This window comes from Homo sapiens, chromosome 13 (genome assembly GCF_000001405.40).
Source record: "Homo sapiens chromosome 13, GRCh38.p14 Primary Assembly".
NCBI classification, from domain to species: Eukaryota; Metazoa; Chordata; class Mammalia; order Primates; family Hominidae; genus Homo; species Homo sapiens.
Genome location: NC_000013.11, coordinates 102,751,872 through 102,777,500, shown reverse-complemented (window position 1 = coordinate 102,777,500; position 25,629 = coordinate 102,751,872). Strand labels below are relative to the sequence as shown.

Sequence of the window (25,629 nt, the reverse complement as noted above, 5' to 3'; positions counted from 1 at the left end):
GTTTATGATAAACAACCACTATTAAAACAATACATTTCCAATCTAATACTGACTTATTTCCTTTTTCAATAGGAAAGGCATTAAATTTTATTAAATGTTTTTAAGTCATCTATTGAAATGCTCATGTTTTATTTGGCTTTGTTTTTGCTGCATTAATCTGTAATGGATTACATTAATAGCATTCTAATTTTTGAAACATTATAAAACCCCAGGGTTTAAAAAAAAAACAAACCCAGGGTTATTACATATTATTATTTTAATACATGGCTGAATTAATTGCACTAATATTTAATTTAGGATATTTCAAACTATAGCCCACAGGCCAAATCTGAGCCACCACCAGTGTTTGTACAGCCTGCAAACTAAGAATAATCTCAACATTGCTAAGTGGCTGAAAAACATAAAAAGAAGAGTATCTCATTACATGAGAAGCATATATGAAATTCAATTTTTGGTTCATAAATAAAGCTTTTGTATTAGTTTCCTATTGTTGCTATGATAAATTACCACAAACTTATGTGGTTGAAAACAACATAAATTATTCTTTCACAGTTTTGGAGGTCAGAGTCCGAAACCAGTTTCACAGAGCTCATGTCAAGGTATTGGCAGGGCTGATTCCTTCTGGAGTCTCTGAGAGGGGAAAACTTTTCCTTGCTATTTCCAGCTTCTAGAGCTGCAGTCCTTATATTTCTTGTCTTGAGGCCCCTCTTCCATCTTCTCAGCCAGCATCTTGGCATCTTCAAATCTCTCCGCTTCTGTCGTCACATCGCCTTTTGTTTCTCTGAATGGCACAGCAGAATTATTCATAATAACCAAAAAGTATAAACAATTCAAATGTCCACCAACTGGTGAATGGATACTCAAAAATGCTGAATACTATTTGGCAATAAAAATATATGAGTTGTAACAAGGTGCAAAGTTCTGATGCATGTCACAGCATGGATAAACCTTGAAAACATTATCCTAAGTGCAAGAGGCTAGAGGCATACGACCATACAGTGTAGGACTCCATTTATATGAACTGTCCAGAAAAGGCAAATCCAGAGAGACAGAAAGTATGTTAGTGGTTGCCCGGGGTTAGGGGTAGGAACAGAGAATGGCTGTAATGCCAGTGAATCCCAAAATTGGAGCTCAGCCTGAGAGGGTTCTTGACTTTGCACAGGAAAGGATTCAAGAGCAAACTGACAGTAAAATGAAAGCAAAGCAAGTACATTAGAGCAACAAAGCACAGGAAAATTGCTTCTGGTAAACTGAGCAGGGCTACCCCACAGGCAGAGTAACACTCATGGATTGCTGGCTAGCTATATATATATATGTATCTACATATACATATATATGTATATACATACATATCATATATATGTATCTACATATACATATATATGTATATACATACATATGTGTGTATATACATATATATGTATATACACACATATATACACATATATAATATATACATACATATAATATATACATACGTATATAAACATATACATGTTATATATACATATGTGTATATATACACATATATACATATATAGTATTTATACTATATGACTATATGTATATAGTATTTATACTATATGACTATATGTATATAGTATATACATACACACATAAATACTATATATAATATTTATACTATATATGTATACATAGTATTTATACTATATATAGTACGGATATATATTATATGTGTGTATATATACACATATGTATATGTGTGTGTGTGTATGTATATATATATATATATAGAGAGAGAGAGAGAGAGAGACGGAGTCTCGCTCTGTTGCCCAGCCTGGAGTGCAGTGGTGCGCTCTTCTCGGCTTTGCAACCTCTGCCTCCAGGGTTCAAGCAATTCTCCTGCCTCAGCTCCCGAGTAGCTGGGACTACAGGTGCCTGCCACTACGCCTGAGTAATTTTTGTGTTTTTGGTAGATGCCGGGTTTCACCGTGTTGGCCAGGCTGGTCTCCAACTCCTGACCTCAGGTGATCCACCCGCCTTGGTCTCCCAAAGTGCTGGGATTACAGGCATGCGCCAGGGCACCCGGCCACTGGCTAGCTATATTTATACCTACTCCTTCATCGTACGCTAAATAAGGGGTGGGTTATTCACGAATTTTCTAGAAAAGGGGTGGGGAGTTCCCCGGAACTGAGAATTCTTCCGTTTTTAAACCATATAAGGTAAGGTCTGGGCATTGCCATGGCATTCGTAAACTGTCAGAGTGCTGGTGGAAGTGTTGTAGCATGTTCATGTATTATAATTAGTGTATAATGAGCAGTGAGGGCACTAGAGGTCACTTTGGTCACCATCCTGGTTTTAGCTGGCTTGGGCCTGTTTCTTTAGGGCAGTTTTGGCCGTTTTTTTAGGGCATCCTGTTCTGACCAGATCCTGTTTTGCTCAGCAGGTGGTGATCAGTGCTTGGAAAGTCCTGCTGATCTCCTACCTCAACTATAACTGTGCAAATACTTTTCAGGGGGATAATGGAAATGTTCTTAAATTATAGTGATGGTTGCAAATGGTTTTAAAATTACTGAAAATGATTGAATGGTACACTTCAAATGAGTGAATTTTATGGCATGTAAAGAAATGTTTTTTAAAAACACAGCTAAAAAATTAGGAGACAAAGAAGTATTAAGACTTTGTAATTTGGGGAAACACTTGTGATAAATGACAGCGACTATGTGGTTTTGTGGAATGTATTTCCTTGTATGTACCGTGACAGAAAAGAGGGCAGGTGCCAACTGCACTGGGCTTGGGGAAGATTCATTCATTTAAGAAATTTTTTTTTTTCTGAGCATTATTCATACACAAGAGGTTCACGGTTAAAACAAAAATTTACAAAAAGCAACCCTTTCTTCACCTGGGAGCTTATAGCGCAGTGAGGAGACACAGATACATCCATAGCTCGTGAGGTGACCGGGGAAGGACAGGAAGAGCGGGGAGGTGATCAGGGGAGGCCTCGCTGTGAAAACCACGCGCCCTGTCGACCCCGAGGAGACGCGGCCCACGCTGGGAGGGAGCAGCCAGGACAAAAGCCGGTCGTCGTGGGGTCCCGCCTGGTGAGTGGGGGTGAGGACAGCGAAGTGTGGGCTGCCCTGGGCTTCCAGGGAAAGGAGCCAGATGGAGAGGGGAGATGTGGGGGACCGATCGCGTGCAACAGCCTAGGCCACTGCCGGCCGCTGGCTGTGGCAATGAGCGCGGAGCCTTTGGAAGATCCAGGGGACAGGCTTCCACAGCATCCACGTGGCTGCGGCGTCGCCGACAAGGCCCAGGCGGGGGCAAGATGGTACGAAGCGACCATTTAAGTGATTGTTACAATCATCCCCGCAAAGATAACAGGGGGCTTGACCCCATGTAGAAGTGTGCGAAGCGGCTGGTTTCTGTCAGCGTTTGACCTTAACGGGAGTAACGAATCGACTATGGGTGTGAGGAAGACTGGTCAGAGCTGATCGCGCCTCGGAATGGAGTGGTGGCTGGGATGCGGAAAGGCCCCGAGTGGAGCAATCCTGGGTGAGGCGGAAACGGGGGCTGACTTTCCAGCCGTCCGCGTGCTACTGAGGCGGCGGCCACCCTGGCACCTTCCCCTAGCTCCGCTAGTCCGCGCGTACAGCCCTGGGATGTGGCGGGCTGGGAGACCCACGCTCCCGGCGTGCTCTGCGGCCCGGCCCGCGCACCCGGGGGGCGTGGCCTGCGCGCGCGTGCGTCGTAGCCGAACGCTGTGGCGGGGCAGGCGAGGCGGTCGCTTCGAGCGCGCTAGTCAGCTCCCTGAAGGGAGTGACGGCGGTTGGGTGCCCGCGGCCACTTTTGCCTTCCCGGGTAAGTGCGGCGGTGGCGGTTGGCGCCGCCGGCTGACGGGCGGCTTCCTGGGAGACGGGGAGAGCACCCGGCAGGCCCGCCTGAGACGTTTGAGGCTCGCGGGCGTCACTCCTCAGGGGCGTCTGGTCCGAGCCGGGAGGCGTTCCGCTAAGTTCGGTGCCCGCGGGCACCAGCCGGTGGGGGCTTCGTCCGCTTTGCCGGGTAGGAGGGCGGAATGTGGGGTTGGTACGGGCGGGGAGAGCCGGACGGGGCCAACCTGGACCACGTCAGCCAGTCCCGGGTGACTGGCTCGAAGTAGCCTCGGAGTTGAGAGGGGTCGACCGGGGCAGCCCGCGGCGCAGCCCCGGCAGCGCGCATTTGCGGAGAGAACGGATCCCGTGCCCCGAGCGCCGCCGAGCCCCGCACGCCCGTGAGACCCGCTTTGAATTTTCTCTCCATGTTTGCTGGGGTTGTTGACCCGACCCCCCGTAAGACTCGGACTCAACGTTTTTGTTTGCCCCACGACAGCCAGCTTAATGCTGTGGACGTAACAGGGCACGAACGTTTGTAACTGAAAGTTGAAGGGGCTGTGGCGTCTCCGTCCCGTGGCGTGGGAGGTGATCGCCCAGCCCTTGTGAGTAGTTGTCGTCCTAGAACTCCGCCGACCGCCTAGCCGGTGGAGCCGGCGCTCCGGACGCCACTAGAGCTGGCGTTTCGTGGGCGCAGCACCTCTAGCCGGTCATCTTCACCATCGCCATTGAGGGCACTGAGGCCGGGCCAGGCTTCAAACCCTGCCCTCTCTGAACCTGAAGCCAGAGATGAAAACCCAGACGACAGTGGCCTGGCACGGTGGCTCACGCCTGACCCCAGCACCATGGGAGGCCGAGGCGGGTGGATCACCTGAGGTCAGGAGTTCAAAACCAGCCTGGCCAACATGGTGAAACCCCGTCTCTACTAAAATTAGCTGGGCGCGGTGGCGGACGCCTGTAATCTCAGCTACTCGGGAGGCTGAGGCTGGAGAATCTCTTGAACCCGGGAGGCAGAGGCTGCAGTGAGCCGAGATCGCGCCGCTGCACTCCTGCCTGGGGGACAGAGCAAGACTCTGTCTCAAAAAAACAAACCCAGATGACCTAGAGCAGGTTGCTTGGGGATTGCATTATGGGGCATTTTCCGTGTTTCTGAAGAAAACCAGCATGTGTGCAGCTGCCGTGAAGAACACACTGTGCATCGTGAAGTCTGAAAAGAAGTAAAGCAGACCGGGAGAGGTGGCAAACGCCTTGGGATCCCAACGGTTTGGGAGGCCAAGGCAGGGGGTATCGCTTGAGCCCGGGAGTTCAAGACCAGCCTGCGAAACATAGGGAGACCCTCGTCTCTACAAAAACATTTAAAAATAATAAGCGGGCGTGGTGGTGAGCGTCTGTAGTCCCACCTACTCAAGAGGCTGAGGCGAGAGGATCGCTTGAGCTCAGGAGTTCGAGGATTCAGTGAGCTTATGATTGCGCCACTCAATTTTCCGGCCTGTCCGCCGGAGCGAGAACCTGTCTCAAAAAAAAAAAAAATAGGGAAGCATTCTAAATTAAGATAGTGGTTGTTTACATGCATCTAAATTTACTCCTTCATGAAGTTTCACTAAACTTACATTAAGGCTATTTAAAAACAAACATGAACCTCCAGCAATGGGAGAATAGGAAAGGAAACGCTGGCAATCAAATAGCGGGCTCCAAAACATGTATGGCTTAGCAAACCCTGTATTAACCACAGAATCTTCAAACTGCACGGAAACTGGCAGCACTGGACAGCGGTGGTACTGGGAATGAAGGTGGTGTGGTGCAGAAGGTGGGTGTAAGGAGCTTAAAGAAAGATGATTTAGGTGAAATCTGAGAAGCAATTGGATATCCAGATCCCCTTCCCCATTTCACCTGTTGGGTGACTGCCTTTCCCCTTGTTAGAAGACTGGATGGAGGCTTATTCTCTTGAGAAAGTAAAACAGAGGATCTTTGAACTGAGAAACCCAGGCATAATTGTGGGGCTGCATGTATGAAGATAGGGACACTGAAGCTTGAAGTCTTTCATCTCCTTTGTCTCACTCAACTTCCAAAACTTTTGCAGTCAGATCAGACTAATGCTCTCCAGGCTGAAATAAGAGAATTCTACACGCTCACACACACAGATGGGGAAAGGTACATAATAAGTTGCTTATGGTGGTTTCTAGGAAGTGAAAGGAACTTGGTGGTTGGGGGAAGAGTGTGTGGAAACTTCTGTTTACATTGTCTTTTAAAATGTACCATGTACACACGATACCTATTCAAAAATGAAATGTATTCTTCACCTCAGGAAGATCTATGAAAAACATATTCTGTAAATTATGAACAAATACTTTGACTTCTGTTTACATTTTTTTAATGTACCGTGTGCACATGATACCTATTCAAAAATGAAATGTATTCACCTTGGGAAGTTCTATGAAAAAATTCTGTAAAAAATTATGAACAAACCCTTTGACACAGCGATTCCTTCCCCAGGAATTTATCTTATAAATACACTTACATCGTGTGAAAATAAGTACAGTGCTATGTGGAAGGATAAGTAAGAAGCAGATAATATTGGTTACCTTTGGAGAGGGGAATCTGATGTCAAGTCAAGAGTGGAATGAGTGAGACTTTTTCACTACATATTCTTGGTACCTTTTGAACTTTAAACCATGTTATTGTTACCTATTGAATGAATGAATAAATAAATGTTAATGGGAAAAATGGGTGAGTAATGGAGATCCTGATGTTGGTAATGTCTTAAACAATACAAGAGCTCTTAACATAGGAAGGAATGCTGCATAACAACCCCAAAATTTCAGTGGCTTACATTTTATGCTCATGGATCTTCAGATCAGCTGTTGGTCAGATGTTGGTTAGACTAGTCTGGACTCCAGACTTCAGTTTTGGGTTCAGTTCTGTTCCGTGTGTCTTCATTTTGAGACCCAGGCTGAAAATGCAAAACCACCTAGAGCATGTTTTTCTCATGGCTGAGGGTGAAAGTTCAAAAGGGCTTCTGGAAGTTTGCCATGCCTCAGCTCAGAAGTCACACATTGAAATGTCTACCTACATTCCATTAGTTAAAACAAGTTACGTAGCCAAGTCCAAAGTAAACAGGGTGAAGACATATATACTCTGCCTTCTAGCAGCACTGTGAAGTTCCATGACAAGATGTGGATGGGTAGGCTTGGGAACTATAATGATGAAGAAAATGGGTTAATGGAAAGATGCTGAAAAATTAAGTTTAGGATAGTTGGTTTAGAATGAAGATTCTTACAAAAATGTGTATTTATACATTTTACATTACCATATTTTGACAAGATACAGCATCCTACTTTGATATGAATTACCTTACAGTTTCCATGTCAAAGTATCACCTTTGTTTTATCTTCTATAACATCTACCAACCCTGCACCTGGCCCTCTAACCAATTCTGAGTGCCCGTAGAAAAATGTACATGTAAAGACACCAGATTTTAGGGAAGTAATTCTAAATGTTTATTTTAGCTACTGAATGTGTTCATTCATAGTTTTTGTGTCATATCCATGTCTGCCAACTCACCTTTCACAACAGAATCTTCTTTTCAGGGAGATGTCCTTTGCTTCTCAGATGTAAATGCACTTTAAGTTTGTTATTCAACAGTGAAAATGAGTCATACAGAGGTAATATTTTCGTATGTTCTGCATCTTCAGGGTTCCTGGTTTTTTGTTTGTTTGTAATTATGTGGCTTCAGAGTAATTTTATTTTCAACTTTCACTGTGGGAGGCAGTATAGCATAAGTGGTTAAGAGCGAGGAATCTAGAGCAGACTACCCTGAGTTTAAATCCTAGCTAGCGGCTATATAACCTTGGGCAAGTTACTTAATCTGCTGTGCCTTATCTATAAAATGGGGATAATGATAGTGCTTGCCTCACAGAATTGTTAGAAAAGTGAAATAAGTTAATACATATAAAGCACTTATAATAATACCCGACACAGTAAGCACTTAACTACTATTATTAATATCACTACTTTTTATTTGGAGGCTATGACTTGAATTATGAGCCTCACAGAGCAAACATATATATAGCTGTTCAGTTGTCTTAATAGGCAAGAAAGTAATTTTTGATCCCTTTATTCTCTTGAATTCCAGGTTAAATTAAAAATACCTTTTGGAAATAAATTACTAGATGCTGTTTGTTTGGTACCTAACAAGAGCTTAACATATGGAATAATTCTTACACATGGAGCATCAGGAGATATGAATCTTCCTCATTTGATGTCACTGGCATCCCATCTTGCATCTCATGGGTTTTTCTGCCTGAGATTTACCTGTAAAGGCCTTAATATTGTACATAGAATTAAGGCGTATAAATCAGTTTTGGTAAGAAAATTTCTTTATATTTACTTATAACAGAATTCTGTTTGAAATCCTTAATAAATGTAAGATAAATTTTATTAGTCATCTGGTTTAATTTAAAAAATCTTTGAATGAGTGTATTCTTAGAAAACTCAGCAGTACATGAAAGCTTTTTAGTCGTCAGATTTCCCTTGTCATCAGTTTCCATGGAGATGAATGCTTACATCATAAATGTTCCTCCGTGATATTGCCAAGGAAGCTACTTATGATTTTTCTCCCTGGAATTATGTAACTTTAGCACATCATTTTGGCATTCTAGAATATTTCATCTACCATACTATGCATGTATAAATATGATACTGTTTTCTGTATATGTTATTTAGAAACCTTGCTTAAAATCCTGGATAACACTAAAGTTTCTCTAAATCAAGCTTGTCCAACCCATGGGCCACATATGGCCCAGGACAGCTTTGAACGTGGCCCAACACAAGTTTGTAAACTTACTTAAAACATTATGAGATTTTTTTTGCAATTTTTTTTTAAGCTTATCAGGTGTCATGAGTGTTAGTGTATTTTATGTGTGGCACAACACAGTTCTTCCACTGTGGCCCAGAGAAACCAAAAGATTGAACACCCCTGATCTAAATAATTTCAAGCTTACTAATAAGTTTTTTAGAACTTTAGATGTTAACATTATCAAATTTGGTATTAGTTGGAAGCCTTTGCTGGCCTTTTTAAAAAATAATTCTCTAAAAAATAGTTTAGTGCTTAAATATTTTAGTAAAGGTAGATTGACTTTTTTTCTCACATATTTGCCTGTATTACCTAACATGTGATTTAATAGTGAAGGCATGACCAGAAGAGGAAGGACTGCTTACTTCTTTTAAGAAAAATCCCTTAAGATTTTCTGGTTATCTTTGCATAGATTTTCATACATTTCAGTAATGATGAGAAACAATATATCTTGCCTTTCCAGTGGAATATTTTATAGGTGAAGAACTGATGATTTTTTTATTTTTCTAGAATTACCTGAAGACATCAGGAGAATACAAACTTGCAGGTGTTTTTCTTGGAGGTAAGTGCAATACTTGTGAATACTTGTTAATTACCTGTTTTAATATAGGAATAGGTAATGGAGAATTAAAATTAGTTGATCATAGGAAGCTAATTTAAGGATTTTTTTTGTTGTTTTGGTAAGTCACCTTTTTAATGTTAAAGCACTTTATATACTTAGAGCAAACTTGAACCTCATGTATATGTATTATAATCTGAGCCTCTCTCCTTTTATTCATATCCCTGAATCATCATCCTGCATATGATGATTCCTTTACAATGATTGTCCTTGTCCTTTTAAGTGTTCTTTAGAAAAATAATTGCCTTTTATTTTTTTAGCATTTAAGATCAATTTTTAGCTTTTTTTTTGAGACAGAGTCTTGCTCTGTCACCCAGGCTGGAGTGCAGTGGCGCCATCTCGGCTCACTGCAGCCTCCACCTCTGGGATTCAAGTGATTCTCCTGCCTCAGCCTCCCAAGTAGCTGGGACTATAGGTGTGCACCACCATGCCTGGCTAATTTTTGTGTTTTTAGTAGAGATAGGGTTTTGCCATGTTGGTCAGGCTGGTCTCAAACTCTTGACCTCAGGCAGTCTGCCCACCTAGGCCTCCCAAAGTGCTGGGATTACAGGTGTGAGCCACCGTGCCTGGCCTGGTATTGCAACTTGTTAATTGCTGCCTTTTGGAGTTAATTTGTTGGTAAACAGATATGATGAACAGTAAAAGATCCAATTTGCCACACCATCACTGCTACTTTATGTGAAAGTTTATATTTCAAACTGAACTTAATTTTAATTGATTTTAGGTCGTTCAATGGGCTCAAGAGCAGCTGCTTCTGTAATGTGTCACATTGAGCCAGATGATGGTGATGATTTTGTTCGGGGTCTCATTTGTATTTCTTACCCACTGCACCATCCAAAGCAGCAGCATAAACTCAGAGATGAAGACCTCTTTCGTTTAAAAGAGCCTGTACTGTTTGTGTCAGGCTCAGCAGATGAAATGTGTGAAAAGGTGAATTATAACTCAATGTTTGTGTCAATGAAAGAGAATGAAAGGCAGACATATCTTGGGAGCAAGATACTTCTGGCAACAGTGTCTTTTAAAAATTGCTAATTTGACTAATGCTAGTTTTGTGTCCTGGTTACTCTGTTGCTTTTGAGAACCTAAAAATATAAGTATAGTGACAAAATTTGTATCCCTGGAAATAGAGTTGGTAAATATGACCCTTACTTGGAAAATGAAGGATTAATATCTGAATCATCTGATTTTGGGATTACTACACTATAGATTTTTTTAATCATTTCAACATTCAGGCAGAGTATTTGTTATAAAATTGATTCTTGAGAAAGGGTTGGCAATGTCTACACATTACTAAATATTAGCCCAATATTATGAAACAACTTTATATTCCCCAGGGCATATAATTTGCTTGGGAAAAAGATTTTTGGGGGAAGAAATTTTTTTATTCCAATTTATTTTACATTTTATTAGTAATAAATGCTTGATCTGATACTGCTACAGCTGAGAGAAGTGGACTGCCACTTTTACGGACATTTCCTCACACATTCTATTACCTAGAAAGTTGTCTGAGAAAGCATTTAATGAATACTTGGGAATGAATGCCAGTATAGGCAGGGGAGAGAGGACCTTTTATTAAATATCAACAGAACATTAGTCTAGTATCCTCTTCTTTTTCTCTTTAGAACTTGTTGGAGAAAGTGGCACAGAAAATGCAAGCTCCCCATAAAATCCACTGGATTGAGAAGGCAAATCATTCCATGGCAGTGAAAGGACGGTCGACAAATGATGTTTTCAAAGAAATAAATACACAGATTTTGTTTTGGATCCAAGAAATTACTGAAATGGACAAGAAATGTCATTAGTTAAAAGCCATGTTATCTTGAGTACACATACAGTTAATTTGATAAAGAAGAGTATGCCTCTCAGCATTGTGAGATATATTTCAGACTAATTTGATGTTCTTTAATGTTCCCTTATTTTTGAAACACGTTTTAAATGTGAAATTAATGTCCTTCACAAAATGTCTTTTGAAAGCACTGTTACAGTTGTATAAAGATGATGTAAAAATATTGAAGGTGGTCTACATATAATTTATTTTCATTAGTATAGTTAAGTTTTGAAAAAAATTAAACATCTGAATTTTGTTACAAAAAGGTGCTTTTGTCTTATTGATAGGCAACTGAGAAATTTTGCAGAGCAGCGTTATCTTCAGAAAAGGAAAACATTATGGTTAATCTAGTCAGAGATTTATAGAATGCACACATCTCTTCACCTTATCTTTTAATAAATCACAATGAAAGGATAGGAGTGGACATATGTTTCAAATATGGGGACCCTGAAGATTTTTTAGAATGAAATAAAGATCTTTAATTCAAGAAGTGTTCACTGAAGGCTTATTACAGGCAAACCTCATTGGGTTTGCAAAGATGAATAAAAACTTGGAGCTTACAACATAGTGTGTGAGGCTGGGCACGGTGGCTCACATCAGTAATCCAAGCATTTTGGGAGGCTGAGGCAGGCGGATCACTTGAGGCCAGGATCACTTGAGGCCAGGAGTTTGAGACCATCCTGGCCAACATGGCAAAACCCTGTCTCTACGAGACCATCCTGGCCAACATGGCAAAACCCTGTCTCTACTAAAAATACGAAAATTAGCCAAGTATGGTGGCACACATCTATAGTCCCATCTACTCGAAGGATGAGGTGGAAGAATTGCTTGAACCCAGGAAGTGGGGGCTGTAGTGAGCCCAGAGCACACCACTAGACTCCAGCCTGGGCAACAGAGTGAGACTGTGTCTCAAAAACACAACATAGTGTGTAAAATCAATAGACTACTCTGATTAAAGAGAGAAATAATTGCTAAATTGTAGTACTAACATCTTTGCTATATCTATGCAGTTGGGGCACTTAATTTTGCCTTGGAAAGTTCAGCTATCACCTGATCTCGAGCTTGAATGGTATTGAGTTATATATAAAGAACATAGTTTCTGTATTTCCTGTAAAATTCACAAAAGGTGATGAGGCTGATGTTAAATTTAAATAGAAGTTTGTAGTAAGAAATGTTTCTTTAATCTTTTGCATATCCTCCCTACTACTCTTAATGTTAGGCCATTAAAATAGCCTCAAGTGGCCTGGGCAGCTTGCAGATTTTTGAGGCCCTTTATTCCTCTGCCCTGATGGAATCAGTAGATTCAAAATATTAGTTTTCTAAATATGACAAAGAGAATGAAAACGTAGGTAATAATGTCCAAATCTTTCACATTGTAAAGTGATGCATAACTATAAATTTAAAATTCCTGTGACTATTTATAATAGATATTCTTGACTAAAAGTCATTTCCTGAACCTAAATTTTTAAGAATGTTGTATAAGTAAACAATAATTAACATTTGAAATTTTAAAACACTACTAATATCAAAAGATGATAAACATAAAAAATATCCAAAGCTATCAAGAAGATAGAATCACTGGTCTATTAACCACTATAAGTCATTGAAGAACATAAGTATTGTGAACCAGAAGTAAAGCTAACAGGACAAGGAAAACACAAAAGACAACTTATTACATAATGTTAGAGTACAACAAAACATTTAAAAGGCTACTGACCAGGCTATACAATTTACAATATTTGCGTTTGCAAAATTAAACTATAGGCATAATATGATGACCAAAGATACTACATCAAATATAGGGGTAATGTAGGTAGATGATCATTTAAAGTTGATTTTCCCCTGAGTTTTCTATAAGAAACTACTGTTCCTTATTGATGTAATGGCTTGACATTTGAGGACTGTATAGCTAGCCATATTTGGGGAACATAGAACTCCTAGAGAAAGATGAATGATGTATCCACAGCAGAAACGAACATTTAGGAAAAGGTCACATCTGCTCTCCTCCATAGATTTACCACGCCTTGCAGGAAAATGTTCAGCCCCTTCAAGTTTGAGATTATAATCAAAGAGCCATTCTGGCACCTCTTCTGGTAGGCCCTAATTAATGGCATAGCTGTTATTGAGGGGGTCTTGACTGCAAGTTGTCCAGGTTCTTGACGTTTTGGATAAAGAATTGGACAAAATGCACAGCAAAGCAAGGAAAGAGTGAAGCAAAGAAAGCATAGATTTGTTGAAAATGATAGTACACTCCACAGTGTGGGAGTGGGCCCAAGCAGCGGCTCAAGGACCCTGGAAAAGGAATCTTCTGGGGCCCAAACACCCTCTAGAGGTTTCCCATTGTCTACCTGGGTGTTCACCCCATGTAAATGAAGTGGTGGCCCACAGTCAGTCTGATTGGTTGCAGAAAGCAACCAGTCAGAGGCTGAAGTGAAGTTACAAAGTTACACTCCCATGCAAATGTCTGTTTGCAGAAAGCAACCAATTTTGCAACCAACTTTCAATTTTCTATCTGCTGCACAGATAAGGTGTGGGTTTGCAAAGGGAGTAGCCTCTGGTCTTTTTGTTACTTAGGCATGGAAAGTTGGGGTTTTCCTATCAACTTAGTTGTAGGAAGTCAGGGTGAATTGGTCTTAGGTTCTCTGCCTCCAGACCCTGTTCTCCTGCCTCATAAACACTCACCTAGACTAATGCTCCCCACCCAGGGGGGACCTTTACCCCTTAGGGCAGTGGTCCCCAACCTTTTTGGCACCAGGGACCCATTTCATGGAAGACAATTTTTCCACCTGACTGGGTTGGGAGTGGCGGGGGTAGGGATGTTTTCTGGATGAAACTGTGCCATCCCAGATCATCAGTCATTAGAGTCTCATAAGCGCACAACCTATAGATCCCCCATGTGCACAGTTCAAAATAAGGTTCCCTGCTGCTATAAGAATCTAATGTCACAGCTGATGTGACAGGAGGCAGAGCTCAGGCAGTAATGCTGGCTTGCCTACTGTTGGTTCATAGTGGGCCACGGACCAGTACTGGTCTGCAGCCCGGGGGTTGGGGACCCCTGTCTTAGGGGATATTTGGCAATGTCTGGAAATATTTTTGTCACGACTAGGGTTGGGGTGCTACTGGCATTCTGTAGGTAGAAGATAGGGATGTTGCTAAGCATCCTACAATACACAGTACTGCAGCCACAACAAAGAAATGTCCTGTCCAAAATGTCAATTAGTGCCCACGTTGGGAAACCTCATCTTAGACAAACCAGATTTGGGATTATCTGTAAGTCCTTTCTCCCTCACCATGAACTCTTCCATCCCCCACCTTGATCCATTTGCTTTTTTTTATTATGTTAGGTTTTTTTTTTGTTTTTTGTTTTTTTTGTGTTTTTTTTTGAGACTGGAGTGCAGTGGCGCGATCTCCGCCTCCCGGGTTCAAGCGATTCTCGTGCCTCAGCCTCCTGAGTAGCCGGGATTACAGGTGTGTGCCACCATACTTGGCTAATTTTTGTATTTTTAGTAGAGACAGGTTTCGTCATGTTGGCCAGGCTGGTCTCGAACTCCTAATCTCAAGTGATCCGACCGCCTCGGCCTCCCAAAATGCTGGGATTACAGGCAAAAGCCACCGCGCTGGCCTAGTTTTATTTTTCTGAGACAGAATTTCACTCTGTCACCCAGACTGGAATGCAATGGCATTATCATACTTCACTGCAACCTTGAACTCCTGGGCTCAAGGGATCCTCCTGCCTCAGCCTCCCAAGTAGCTGGGACTACAGGCGCCTGCCACTGCACCTGGCTACTTTTTAAAATTATCTTTTTTTAGAGAGACGGGGTCTCAAATATTTTTGTAGAGAACAGGGTCCTGCTTTGTTGCCGAGGCTGGTCTCGAACTCCAGGGCTCAAGCAATCTAACTCAGCCTCCCAAAGTGCTGGGATTACAGGCATGAGCCACCACACCCAGCCACTTGCTTTCTTTTAGTTGCTAAATCCTGGGTTTCAGTCTTTTACTCTAATTCAGACCCTTATCAATTCTCATCTATCAGTGCAGTAGCCTAATTGATTTTCCAATTTTATTGTCACCTTGCTTTGATACACCAGCTGGTACTTCCAACTCAAAAACTGTTAGATCTCCGAAGATGGCTCCACAGTAGGGCTCTGTCAACATTTTAGCCTTCTTTTCCCAGACTTCACACCTGTAACCGTGCTATAGCTAACATGGACTATATAAATGTTTATAAAATGGAAGAAGTATTTCTTACTCTTCTTCCTACTTTGTTTGTTCATCTTTGCCTGCTACCAAATCCAAATGAGTAGGGGGGATTTTTTTCCCCTCTTTGCAGATTTCCTTGAAATTACCCCAAACCAAGCATCTCACCTCAAACCCCTGTAATATCTTCGTCCTTTCTGTGTTAACCGAACTCTACCTTCTCATTAAGTTATTAATATCTCCATCTCACTTACATTACAAATTCCTTCAAGTTTGGGATTTTTTTTCCTCATCATTGTTAAATGTTAACAAAGATGTTAACAAAACGTTAACAAAATGTGTTAAAGCACGTTTTTGTTCCTTGTTCAGTGCTTTACACATTTATTATTCAACACATGTATTAAACTAAGATATTTACAGAAAGAATTTCTAACAATTTTGAACAATATCTGGCTTTATGTTGCTGTTTTATATATCTAATATTGGGACTTTTTCCTGTTAAGTAAAGAACAAAAACCAAGTTCATAATGTCAAGATAGTTCAAAGATGGTAACATTGGTAAATATAATAGGAAGTTTTAAAAAAAACTTTAATAGAATTTTCATTGTGTTTTCTCGTAGTGTCTATGTTTTACTACTGTAATAGGCTTTCTCTGATACTCTTTTTCTTTTTACTCTGTAAGCAAGTAAATCTTGCTTAGCATTTACTTTTGATGCTGTTCACTTGACATTGGTCTGAGAGGTTTCTAGTCCAAGAGACAGAAGCATTTATGCTGAAAAATAGATAATTATACTTTTGTTAGTAGCAAGTACATAAGTAACAAACATGACAAAGCCCTGGAGAGGGATAATACTTACCCCTATGTAAACCTACCCATCAGCAGGAGTGGTACGCAGCAGTTCCTTTTCAGTTCCTTAAGAGCTCTTCAGTGGAATGCTAATTAGGGATTCAGTACCATAAAGCTTGGAAAGATCTATTAACTAGAGAGAAGAAAATGTTGAAACAATGAATCCCTTTTAAGATAGTTACCATTAAATGATTTAGAGAGTTTCTGCAAGTAGGTGAGAGTAACAGTATTTTTCCAGCTGCTTAATTTTTCTTTTCCCCCCTGAGATGGAATTTTGCTGTTGTTGCCCAGGCTGGAGGGCAATGGCGTGATCTCGGTTCACTGCAACCTCCGCCTCCCCGGGTTCAAGCAATTCTCCAGCCTCAGCCTCCTGAGTAGCTGGGATTACAGGCACCTGCCACCATGCCCAGCTAATTTTTGTATTTTTAGGTAGAGACGGGGTTTCACCATGTTGGCCAGGCTGGTCTTGAATTCCTCACCTCAGGTGATCCACCTGCCTCGGGCTCCCAAAGTGCTGGGATTATAGGCATGAGCCACTGCGCCTGGCCCAGCTGCTTGAATTTTATGGGGAAACCCAGGAGACTAAAATCACCTCAATTGTCTTTGTGGGCAGGGGAGTACGGGGAAGGTGTACTTTACCATAGTTCTAGAAAAATCAAGAGGAATTGCTGAAGTTTCTTTCAGAGCCAATGAAGACCTACCAAGCATTCTAAAGGGCGATTCTTTGCGAAGACAAAATTCAAGATAAGAATTATACTTAAATAAAGATTAGAAATACCTGTACATTGTGGTCCAGGAGACTGGAAGACTGTAAATTCCAACATTTAGAATGTCATTGATCTCTTGATCTTCAATGTTCAGGGACAGTAAGAGTTGATAATTCTTTTTTCTTTTTCTTTTCTTTTTTTTTTTTTTGCAACAGTGTCTTGCTTTGTTGTCCAGGATGGGAGTGCAGTGGCAGGATCATGGCTCACTGCAGCCTTCAACTCCCAGGCTCAGGCAATCCTCCCACCTCAGACTCCCAAGTAGCTGAGACTAACTACAGGTGCACACCACTATGCCTAGTTAATTTTTAAATTTTTGGTAAAGACGGAGGTCCACCTATGTTGCCTAGTACTGGTCTCAAACTCCTGGGCTCAAGCCATCCACCCACCTCAGCTTTCCAAAGTGCTGGGATTACGGGCATGAGCCACTTCGCCCAGCTGAAGTCATAAATCTTTGTTGTACTTATTTAAACTGATGTGACAGAAGAGGCCTGAACTGTTCACTTCAGTGTAATGAATAATACTTCAGTGTAATGAATAATACTTCTTTGCTTAACCTACCTTGGATAAGTGAAGTACTAAAACAAAACCAAAGTGAAGCATTAATGAATTACATCTGCAAAGGAAGTATTAATTAATTACACCTTCAAAGGAAGAGTACTCTAAATCCAAGGTAGTGTTAACATTTTTCATTATTAGTCCAGACTATCCTGTCTACTTGTGACTAAAATCATATTTGCTCAATAAGCTTCCAGGCCTACCCACTAGACTTTGAAGGGGAGTGGGCAGTACTGTACTTACATCTGCCTCTGCCCTACCCTTAATTCTGACATCGGAAAGGACATCACAAGTAGCTCCCTGAAATCACTGTAGACAGGGTGAAAAGGAAATTCACCAGGAGGTTATTCCAAAGACACTTTAGTTTTCAGCATGTCAATAGATTGTTGAAGGGAAATGGTGCCAACAGACCCTGCTAGCAAAAAGAAATATAAAATGTGTTCTATTTTAAGAAAAAAATCAGACTCATAAAAGACAAGTCATCATACATTCTACATAGTTGTAATGGGACATACTTAGACCAAAAAAATTATTCGACATTTCTCTGAAATTCAAATTAAATTGGGCATCTAATGTTTTTATTTGCTAAACCTGTCAACTCTATCTATATTCATTCTAAGAAAGGACTATATTTTCCTTACCACAAAGAAGCATAAAATACATTGTTCCTGGTGTTAATAGAAATGGTTATGTCAAATGCTTTCTACCAATCCAAATTTATTCTATATTTATAATAGGGCAGCAACAATCCATGATAGAATTATGTTGCTATCTATGAAGTTAAGAGAAGGTAATTTTTTGAATTTTAGTAAAAAACTACTTATACAGTGTACATATCTTACCTATGAACTTCCATTATTGCTAAAGCTAATATGAGCTCAGTTAAATACCCACTATGACACGTACCTCACTTAACTTAGGCCCAGAGCAATCACTGCTGCACTTGATAAGATACCAGCAGCACTGGCCAAATGTTGCACATGGTTATGAGTTGGGCATACCGAGGTTTTATATTTCAGGGCCTCTGAAATCAAGGACTTCTGAATGAGACACCAGTCTCTTTCACATATGACATTAAAATGTCAAAGCAATATTATTCCTTTAAAAAAGGGGTAGGGAGTGGACTGGAAGATAATACATTCATGACATTATGGGACTTTCTAGAGTCCTGGATTATTCAAAATGATTGGGTGGCAATTTTCTTTATAATTTTACTAGGAATTATTTTTGAGATAATACTCATGAAAGCTTGTGCATCCTTTTGGAAGAAGCCCACACTTCCTGAAAAGGGTAGTTCAGATGTCCAGGAGGTAAGAATAAATGGTTGATTTCCCCTTTTCCTAGTTTTCAAAATCAGACATAAGAATAATTTGTAAAATTTTTGAATTTTGATACTCCGATTACTCCTCTAACAATTTTTTTTCCATTAAAATAGACGGAAGACAGTTGCCCCAAAAGCAGGAAACTTGGTAAGTATTATACAATTTCACATTTTAATATAAAACTTGTTCATCCTGAGCTTTTCTCATTGATACTGTGACTTTTTTATTCCTATTCAGCTCCAGAGAATTGGTCAGTTATTAATTCATCTTCAGGAGAAAGGTATGTGATATATCACAAAAATATTTTGAAGCTAAATGAAATAGGTTGGTTGTGTTCTATTCAAAATTGCCTTTACTTCTGAATTTCAGAGAAGGGTTTTCCTAGCTGTTCAATATCATGATTCAATCTAACATTTACTTTAAATTGTTGCTATGCTCCAAGCTGTGTTAAGGACTTTTCGTATATTATTGAAATTATCCTTCGAGGCAGGTAGTTTCTTACAGATGAGGAAAATAAAGCTTGAAGAGGATAAGTGACTTGCTTTCCTACTCTAACTCTCTCTCCAACACACCAGTTCTTATATTTCAACTGAAAAGATATTTATTTAGCACTTACTGTGGACCAAGCAAACACTGAGCTAGGTGCTGCATGAGTGACATGAAAGGAGTTTGTAAAATCAGAATTTATCAGAATTGTAAAGTTATCTCCGTGCTAGGGATTAAATACTGACATAATCACAACTCTTGATGCTATCAATATTTTAATTGTTTTAATTGAAATCCATTCAACAATTATTAGATATCTACAATATAGTGGACGCCAACACTGGGATTCAAACCATAATATAGTCTCTGTTCTCAAGAAGCTTATATTCTTGTGGAGAAGATGTATACATACAGGAAAGTTGCCCTGTGGTATGGTGACACAGTGACAGAAATATTAATATATTTAGGAGATACCTAAGCCAGCCTAGGGCATTGGGAATGGCTTCACGAAGAATGTTATCCTGGAGCTGAATTTTAAAGGATGAATGAACATTAGCCCGAAAAGGACAGAGGTTTAGGAGGATAAGAAAGACATTCCAGGACATGAACAGAAACAGCAGCAATGTGCAAGAAATTACTATTATTTCAGAGTTGCTGGAATGTTGAGGTTGAGTCAGGAAGTAGTGGAAGATGAATGTGAAGAGGTAGGTAGGAGTCAGGTCATAAACGGCTTTCTATACCATGTTAAGACCTGGATTCAATTCTGTAGATAATAACCACTACTGGTGGTTACACATAAGAGTGGCAGTTTTGTGTTTCAGCTAGATCACTAGTCACTGTGTGAATCAGAGGATTACTTGATGTTCGTCTAATTTCTTTCATTTGTCAGGTATAAAAGGGCTTTATTCATTTAATCTGGTTGCTATATTGTTGTATTGGGTACTAGCAACACTAGTTCTCAGGTGAGTGTCTTGGGAAGCTGTAACAATATCTGGAGGTGTGAGTAGGTAGAACCCTTGTGAGGGCCAGTTGGAAACAGGAATGCCAGCACAAGCTACAGCATGTCAGTAGTGCAATCAGAATAAGTCCAAATGGACAGACCAAGATTCAGCATTTGAGATATTAGAGGGCTTAGGTGTGCATGGTGACCCAAGGTTCACATGTAATTCAAAACCAGAGGATTAACAGGCAAGAGGAATTCACAAGAAGACATGGAGAAAAAAAGGATTTTTAGCTTCAGAATCAAGGACACTTTAAAGATTTTCCATCCCCGTGTCCTATTATTCCCTTCCTGCCTAGACAGAAGTTAATCCTCGGGTGGCATCTTTCTAGGGGGCGTTAAGGGAAATTCATGGAGAAGAAGAGGTTAGGGGGTGGTGTTGAAGAAAAAGGATTAGAGAAAAGATATGGCTCCTGTGGCAGCAGCATATTATGGTGAAAAAACATAAATTTTGAAGTTAAAAAAGGTCTAGCTTTATATCATAGTTCTGCCTCTTTTTGTTTTTTTGTTTTTTTTTTTTTTTTTTTTTTAGACAGAGTTTTGCTCTTTTTGCCCAGGCTGGAGAGCAATGGCATGACCTCAGCTCACTGCAACCTCCGCCTCCTGGGTTCAAGTGATTCTCCTGCCTCAGCCTCCATAGAAGCTGGGATTACAGGCACCCACCATCACACCTGGCTAATTTTTTGTGTTTCTAGTAGAGATGCGGTTTCACCATGTTGGCCAGGCTGGTCTCGAACCCCTGACCTCAGGTGATCCACCTACCTGGGCCTCTCAAAGTGCTGGGATTACAGTCGTGAGCCACTGCACCTGGCCCTGTAGTTCTACCTCTTAATGATGGCATGGCCTTGGGCTAATGACTTAACTCACTATACCTCCATTTTTTTTTTTTTTTCGAACTAAGGATTAGAAGAATTACCTCTTAGGAATATCATGAAGAATAGTTGAAATAGTATGTGTAACACGGTGGCTCACGCCTGTAATCCCAGCATTTTGGGAAGCTGAGGTGGGCGGATCACTGAGGTCAGGAGTTCGAAACCAGCCTGGACAACATGGTGAAACCCCATCTCTACTAAAAATACAAAAATTAACCGGCTGTGGTGGCATGCGCCTGTAATCCCAATGACTTGGGAGGCTGAGAATGGCTTGAACTTGGGAGGCAGAGGTTGCAGTGAGACGAGATTGCACCACTGCACTCCAGCCTGGGAGACGAAGCGACTCCAGCTCAAAAGGAAAAAAAAAAAATATATATATATATATATATGTATATATATACACACACACACACACACACACACACACACATATATATGTGTATACATATATATATAAACTTTTTTTGGGAAAAGAACTATGAACATAGTATTTTTTTATTTTTAACCATTGACACCTTCAAATAATTTTATTTCATTTAATTTTTTAAAATTCCTTCTAAAAAAAAAAACCAGGATACATATGCAGAACGTGTAGGTTTGTTACATAGGGATACGTGTGCCATGGTGGTTTACTGCACCTATTGACCTGTCCTCTAAGTTTCCTCCCCTCGTCCCCCATCCCCGAAAAGGCCTTGGTATATGTTGTTCCCCTCCCTGTGTCCATGTGTTCTCATTGTTCAGCTCCCACTTAGGAGTGAGAACATGCGGTGTTTGGTTTTCTGTTCCTGTGTTAGTTTGCTGAGAATGGTGGCTTCCAGCTTCATCCATGTCCCTGCAAAGGCCATGATCTCATTCTTTTTATGGTTGCATGGCATTACATGATGTATATGTACCACATTTTTTTTATCCAGTCTATCATTGATGAGCATTTGGGTTGGTTCCATGTCTTTGCTATTGGAAATAGTGGGACAGCATCTTAATAAATTATTTTGAAATAGAAGGGTATATTGGCCGAAGCTAAGCATCAGAATGGTTAAAATCTACTGCATTAGAGATGGAGTGGATTTTATCTTGCTTATGAAATGAGACAAAGGAGAAAGGGGGTAGCTGGGGGGGCAGAGAGGAGCAGAACAGAGGGAGTTGCAGGTGTAGTGGTGTGAGGCTTAGGACTGAGTGGCATAAAGGATGAGACCACCACTCAGTATCTGAAATCCGGGGACCCGAGCTGACCAGGTATCGTCTCAGTAAGCAAAGCAAATGGCTGACCTTATATCAGATTTTGGGGTATGGTTTGTTTTAGGGTTGGCCTTACCCATAGATGCATGCTTGAGTGAGAGTCTGCCACCAACCACCTGACTTTCAAAGCTTAAACTTGTCACTGACTGGTTGGTTTCAGAAGTGCATTTCCTGAAGGGAGTTATCGTTGATAGATAAAACAGTTTAAAAGAAGACTCTGTTTATTTGTTACTATGACTATAGGATTGCCATTGATTGATTTACAACTGGTTCTGCTATTGGTTACCATGGCTCTAGAACTGTTACTCTTTTCCTAGAGAATGAGGAGTTGTTTTTAAAATCTCAAAGGCCAATTAAGATTCCTTGGTGGGGAGAGGCCAAAGGACATCTCACAAATGGGGAGACGTACCTAATGTTTAAATGGGAACCCTATGCATGGCTGTAGTCAACTCTCTCCTGCTTCTGCTTCCAAGTCTTCACTAAAATCAGTCACATGATTTTAAACATATATGAGTGGTTTGTGTATGAGGGATTTTTTTCTCACTGAAATTGAGGAAAGAGTTGGGTCAGTTTGTTGTTAGCAATCAGAAGCCTGGAGGTGGAGATGGTCATTCAGCAAATACTTATTGATTGCCTACTCTGTGTCAGGCATTGCTGTAGGCCCTTGAGACTCATCAGCAAACAAAACAGGGTGTGGGGGTGAGACAGGGTCAGACAATAAATGACAACATAATAAATAAATTATATGTCAGGAGGTGACATGAGAAATTAGAGAGAACTGTGCTGACCAGGCATAGTCTCAGTGAGCAAAGCAAACTGCTGATCTTACATTGGATTATTGGATTTTGGGAAATGGTTTGCTTCAGGGTTTTTTTTTTTTTTTTTTTTTTGGAGATGGAGTCTCATTCTGTTGCCCAGGCTGGAGTGCAATGGCACAATCTCGGCTCACTGCAACCTTCATCTCCTGGGTTCAACAACTCTCCTGCCTCAGCCTCCCGAGTAGCTGGGTCTACAGGTGCATGCCACCATGCCCAGCTACTTTTTGTATTTTTAGTAGAGTTGGGGTTTCACCATGTTGGCTAGGTTTCAAACTCCGATGTCAAGTGATCCACCTGCTTCGGCCTCCCAGAGACCTGGGATTACAGGCGTGAGCCACCCCGCCCAGCCTGCTTCAGCATTTTCTTATATTAGGATTAGATCATGCCCATTCCTAAACTAATCACTCAGAAATGGGATTACTATATTAGACTGAGCCTAATAATCTGAGGTAGAACAGGTGTTGGAGAGTAGACATCATGATCATCCAACGCAAAATTTTGTCTTAGTTGAAGAATAGACTTTACTACCAAAGACTATATACTAAAAGTAATGGGCAGATAACAAAGATGTGTATACAGTCTGTAGTAGATTGCTGGGGCTGCCATAACAACGTATCACAAATTAGGTGGCATTAAAGAACAGAAATTTATTTTCTCATGGTTCTGGAGGCTGAAAGGCTTGGTTTCTCCTGAGGTGTTTCTCCTTGACTCGCAGATGGCCACTTTCTTGCTGTGTCCTCACATGCTCTTTTCTTTTTTTTTTCTTTTCTTTTTTTTTTTTTTAATTTTACTTTAAGTTCTGGGATACATATGCAGTATGTGCAGGTTTGTTACATAGGTATACATGTGCCATGGTGGTTTGCTGCACCTATCAACCCGTCATCTAGGTTTTAAGCCCAGCATGCTTTAGGTATTTGTCTGTCCTAATGCTCTCCGTCCCTGTGCCCCTCACCTCCCTGACAGGACCCAGTGTGTGATGTTCCCCTCCTTGTGTCCATGTGTTCTCATTGTTAGACTCCCACTTAGGAGTGAGAACATGCAGTGTTTGATTTTCTGTTCCTATGTTAGTTTGGTGAGAATGATGGTTTCCAGCTTCATCCATGTCCCTGCAAAGGGCATTAACTCATTCTTTTTTATGGCTGCATAGTATTCCATGGTGTATATGTGCCACATTTTCTTTATCCAGTCTATCATTGATGGGCGTTTGGGTTGATTCCATGTCTTTGCTATTGTAAATATTGCTGCAATAAACACGCATGTGCATCACATGCTCTTTTCTCTGTATATGCATGTCCATGGTGTCTCTGTGTCCAAATTTCCTCTTCTTACAAGGGCACCAGTCATATTGGATTAGGGCCCCACTCTAAATAAGTTAATTTAATCAGTTATAAATAAGTTAACTAACATCAGTTAATTTAATCATCTTTTGATGGCCTTATCTCCAAATATGGATTAAGGCCTACCCATATGACCTCATTTAACTTTAATAGCCTATTTAAAGGCCACGTCTACAAATATGGTCACATTCTGAGGTACTACGGTTAGGACTTCAACATATGAATTTTAGAGAAACACAATTCAGCCCATAAAATAGCCTATATATTAGAGGTTAATAAGTGCTCTAAAATTTGAGAGAACTTGAAAACTAACATATTTTAAATATTTACCTAATATTTTTGTGTTATCGATGAAAAAACAAAATCATTAGTGTAGCCTAAAATACCCCAAATTCTAATTAACCAAATCCAGATTAATGAGATTTCATTGTGTCAACTGAAGAATGATGGTGTTTTGAAAAGAATGATGGCGCTCATAAAAGGTTGCAGCCTGCAGGGTAGCCATTCTGACAGACTGGGAAGTGTAGCCTCCTGTCAGAAGCCAGAAACAGGCCATTGGAGGGCAGGAAGAATAAGACAGGAAATCATGCTGAACGAGGTGGATAATACTCATAGTCAATAAGCTGTAGGAGGAGTCATGAATATTTATGAAAGGAGAAATGTGTGCATGAGCAATTGAGCTTCATTCCTCTCCATGGAACTCATGTTCAAAAAATGGCAGCTTTAGCATGATCCGAGGGTGGAGTTTTTGGTCCTCTGACATCAAAAGGTGAAGCAGGGGACATGAAAACCCCCACTGCACATCCTTCCTAGACTGGGCAGAACCACTCTGTGGTTGGTAGTCTCTTATCAGGAAGGAATGCTGGCTGGTTGCTTTGTTGAAGGCGAAAGGGAGGGGCAGCATCTGGTCATTGGTTGATATCAAGGGTGGTGCAAGCCTTTCCAAAGGGCTGTTCTGTTTACCCTTAGGAAAGAAAGCCTAATGGTAGCGAGGCAGGGAGGTGGTATAATAAGGCCTGTCTGACCTCCCATCCCATCATGGTCAGGAATTCATTTTTCAAGATTCCTT

The 25,629-nt window shown here is 40.8% G+C and overlaps 2 protein-coding genes and 1 long non-coding RNA gene across 13 annotated transcripts in view, besides 4 other annotated features; 2 read left to right on the top strand and 1 right to left on the bottom strand.

The window, feature by feature from the left end:
• Positions 2,605-3,282: an enhancer, noted in NCBI's record as "H3K27ac-H3K4me1 hESC enhancer chr13:103426569-103427246 (GRCh37/hg19 assembly coordinates)". NCBI's record gives its function as "activates a minimal SCP1, AML or CMV promoter by ChIP-STARR-seq in primed H9 embryonic stem cells {active_cell/tissue: H9 hESC(primed)}" and the evidence as "EXISTENCE:reporter gene assay evidence [ECO:0000049][PMID:30033119]".
• Positions 3,283-3,960: an enhancer, noted in NCBI's record as "H3K27ac-H3K4me1 hESC enhancer chr13:103425891-103426568 (GRCh37/hg19 assembly coordinates)". NCBI's record gives its function as "activates a minimal SCP1, AML or CMV promoter by ChIP-STARR-seq in primed H9 embryonic stem cells {active_cell/tissue: H9 hESC(primed)}" and the evidence as "EXISTENCE:reporter gene assay evidence [ECO:0000049][PMID:30033119]".
• Positions 3,543-3,882: a silencer, noted in NCBI's record as "silent region_5483". NCBI's record gives its function as "represses an Ori minimal core promoter by ATAC-STARR-seq in GM12878 lymphoblastoid cells {active_cell/tissue: GM12878}" and the evidence as "EXISTENCE:reporter gene assay evidence [ECO:0000049][PMID:35858748]".
• On the top strand, positions 3,715-11,613 carry TEX30 (testis expressed 30). Of its 10 annotated transcripts, XM_024449439.2 has the most exons (7): positions 3,715-3,819; positions 5,560-5,634; positions 7,415-7,489; positions 7,960-8,190; positions 9,190-9,241; positions 10,023-10,228; positions 10,921-11,613. In XM_024449439.2, exons 3-7 carry the CDS (start codon positions 7,475-7,477, stop codon positions 11,098-11,100), a joined length of 684 nt encoding a protein of 227 aa, XP_024305207.1. In that variant the 5' UTR covers positions 3,715-3,819; positions 5,560-5,634; positions 7,415-7,474; the 3' UTR covers positions 11,101-11,613. The 10 variants fall into 10 exon arrangements, 9 of the variants coding, with proteins under 9 accessions (XP_024305207.1, NP_620134.3, XP_005254154.1 ...); NM_138779.5 differs by lacking the exon at positions 5,560-5,634; XM_005254097.4 differs by lacking the exon at positions 5,560-5,634 and having other exon boundaries at positions 3,715-4,020.
• On the bottom strand, positions 9,208-17,847 carry LOC105370337 (uncharacterized). The gene is made up of 3 exons (XR_931685.4): positions 16,946-17,847; positions 16,194-16,300; positions 9,208-9,275 (listed from the first exon to the last, which is right to left on the bottom strand). It is a non-coding gene; the product is annotated as an uncharacterized LOC105370337 (long non-coding RNA).
• LRTM3 (leucine rich repeat transmembrane protein 3) overlaps positions 18,429-25,629 on the top strand; it is a 29,706-nt gene continuing 22,505 nt past the window's right edge. For both annotated transcript variants that reach the window (XM_011521106.2, NM_001146197.3), the window contains exons 1-3: positions 18,429-18,799; positions 18,925-18,958; positions 19,049-19,091. In XM_011521106.2, the coding sequence (XP_011519408.1) occupies positions 18,569-18,799; positions 18,925-18,958; positions 19,049-19,091 (308 nt within the window). In that variant the 5' untranslated portion in view covers positions 18,429-18,568. The remainder of the gene's footprint in view (positions 18,800-18,924; positions 18,959-19,048; positions 19,092-25,629) is intronic.
• Positions 22,338-22,559: a silencer, noted in NCBI's record as "fragment chr13:103407292-103407513 (GRCh37/hg19 assembly coordinates)". NCBI's record gives its function as "represses an EF-1alpha promoter that drives an FKBP-Casp9 reporter gene in an ReSE screen in K562 erythroleukemia cells {active_cell/tissue: K562}" and the evidence as "EXISTENCE:reporter gene assay evidence [ECO:0000049][PMID:32094911]".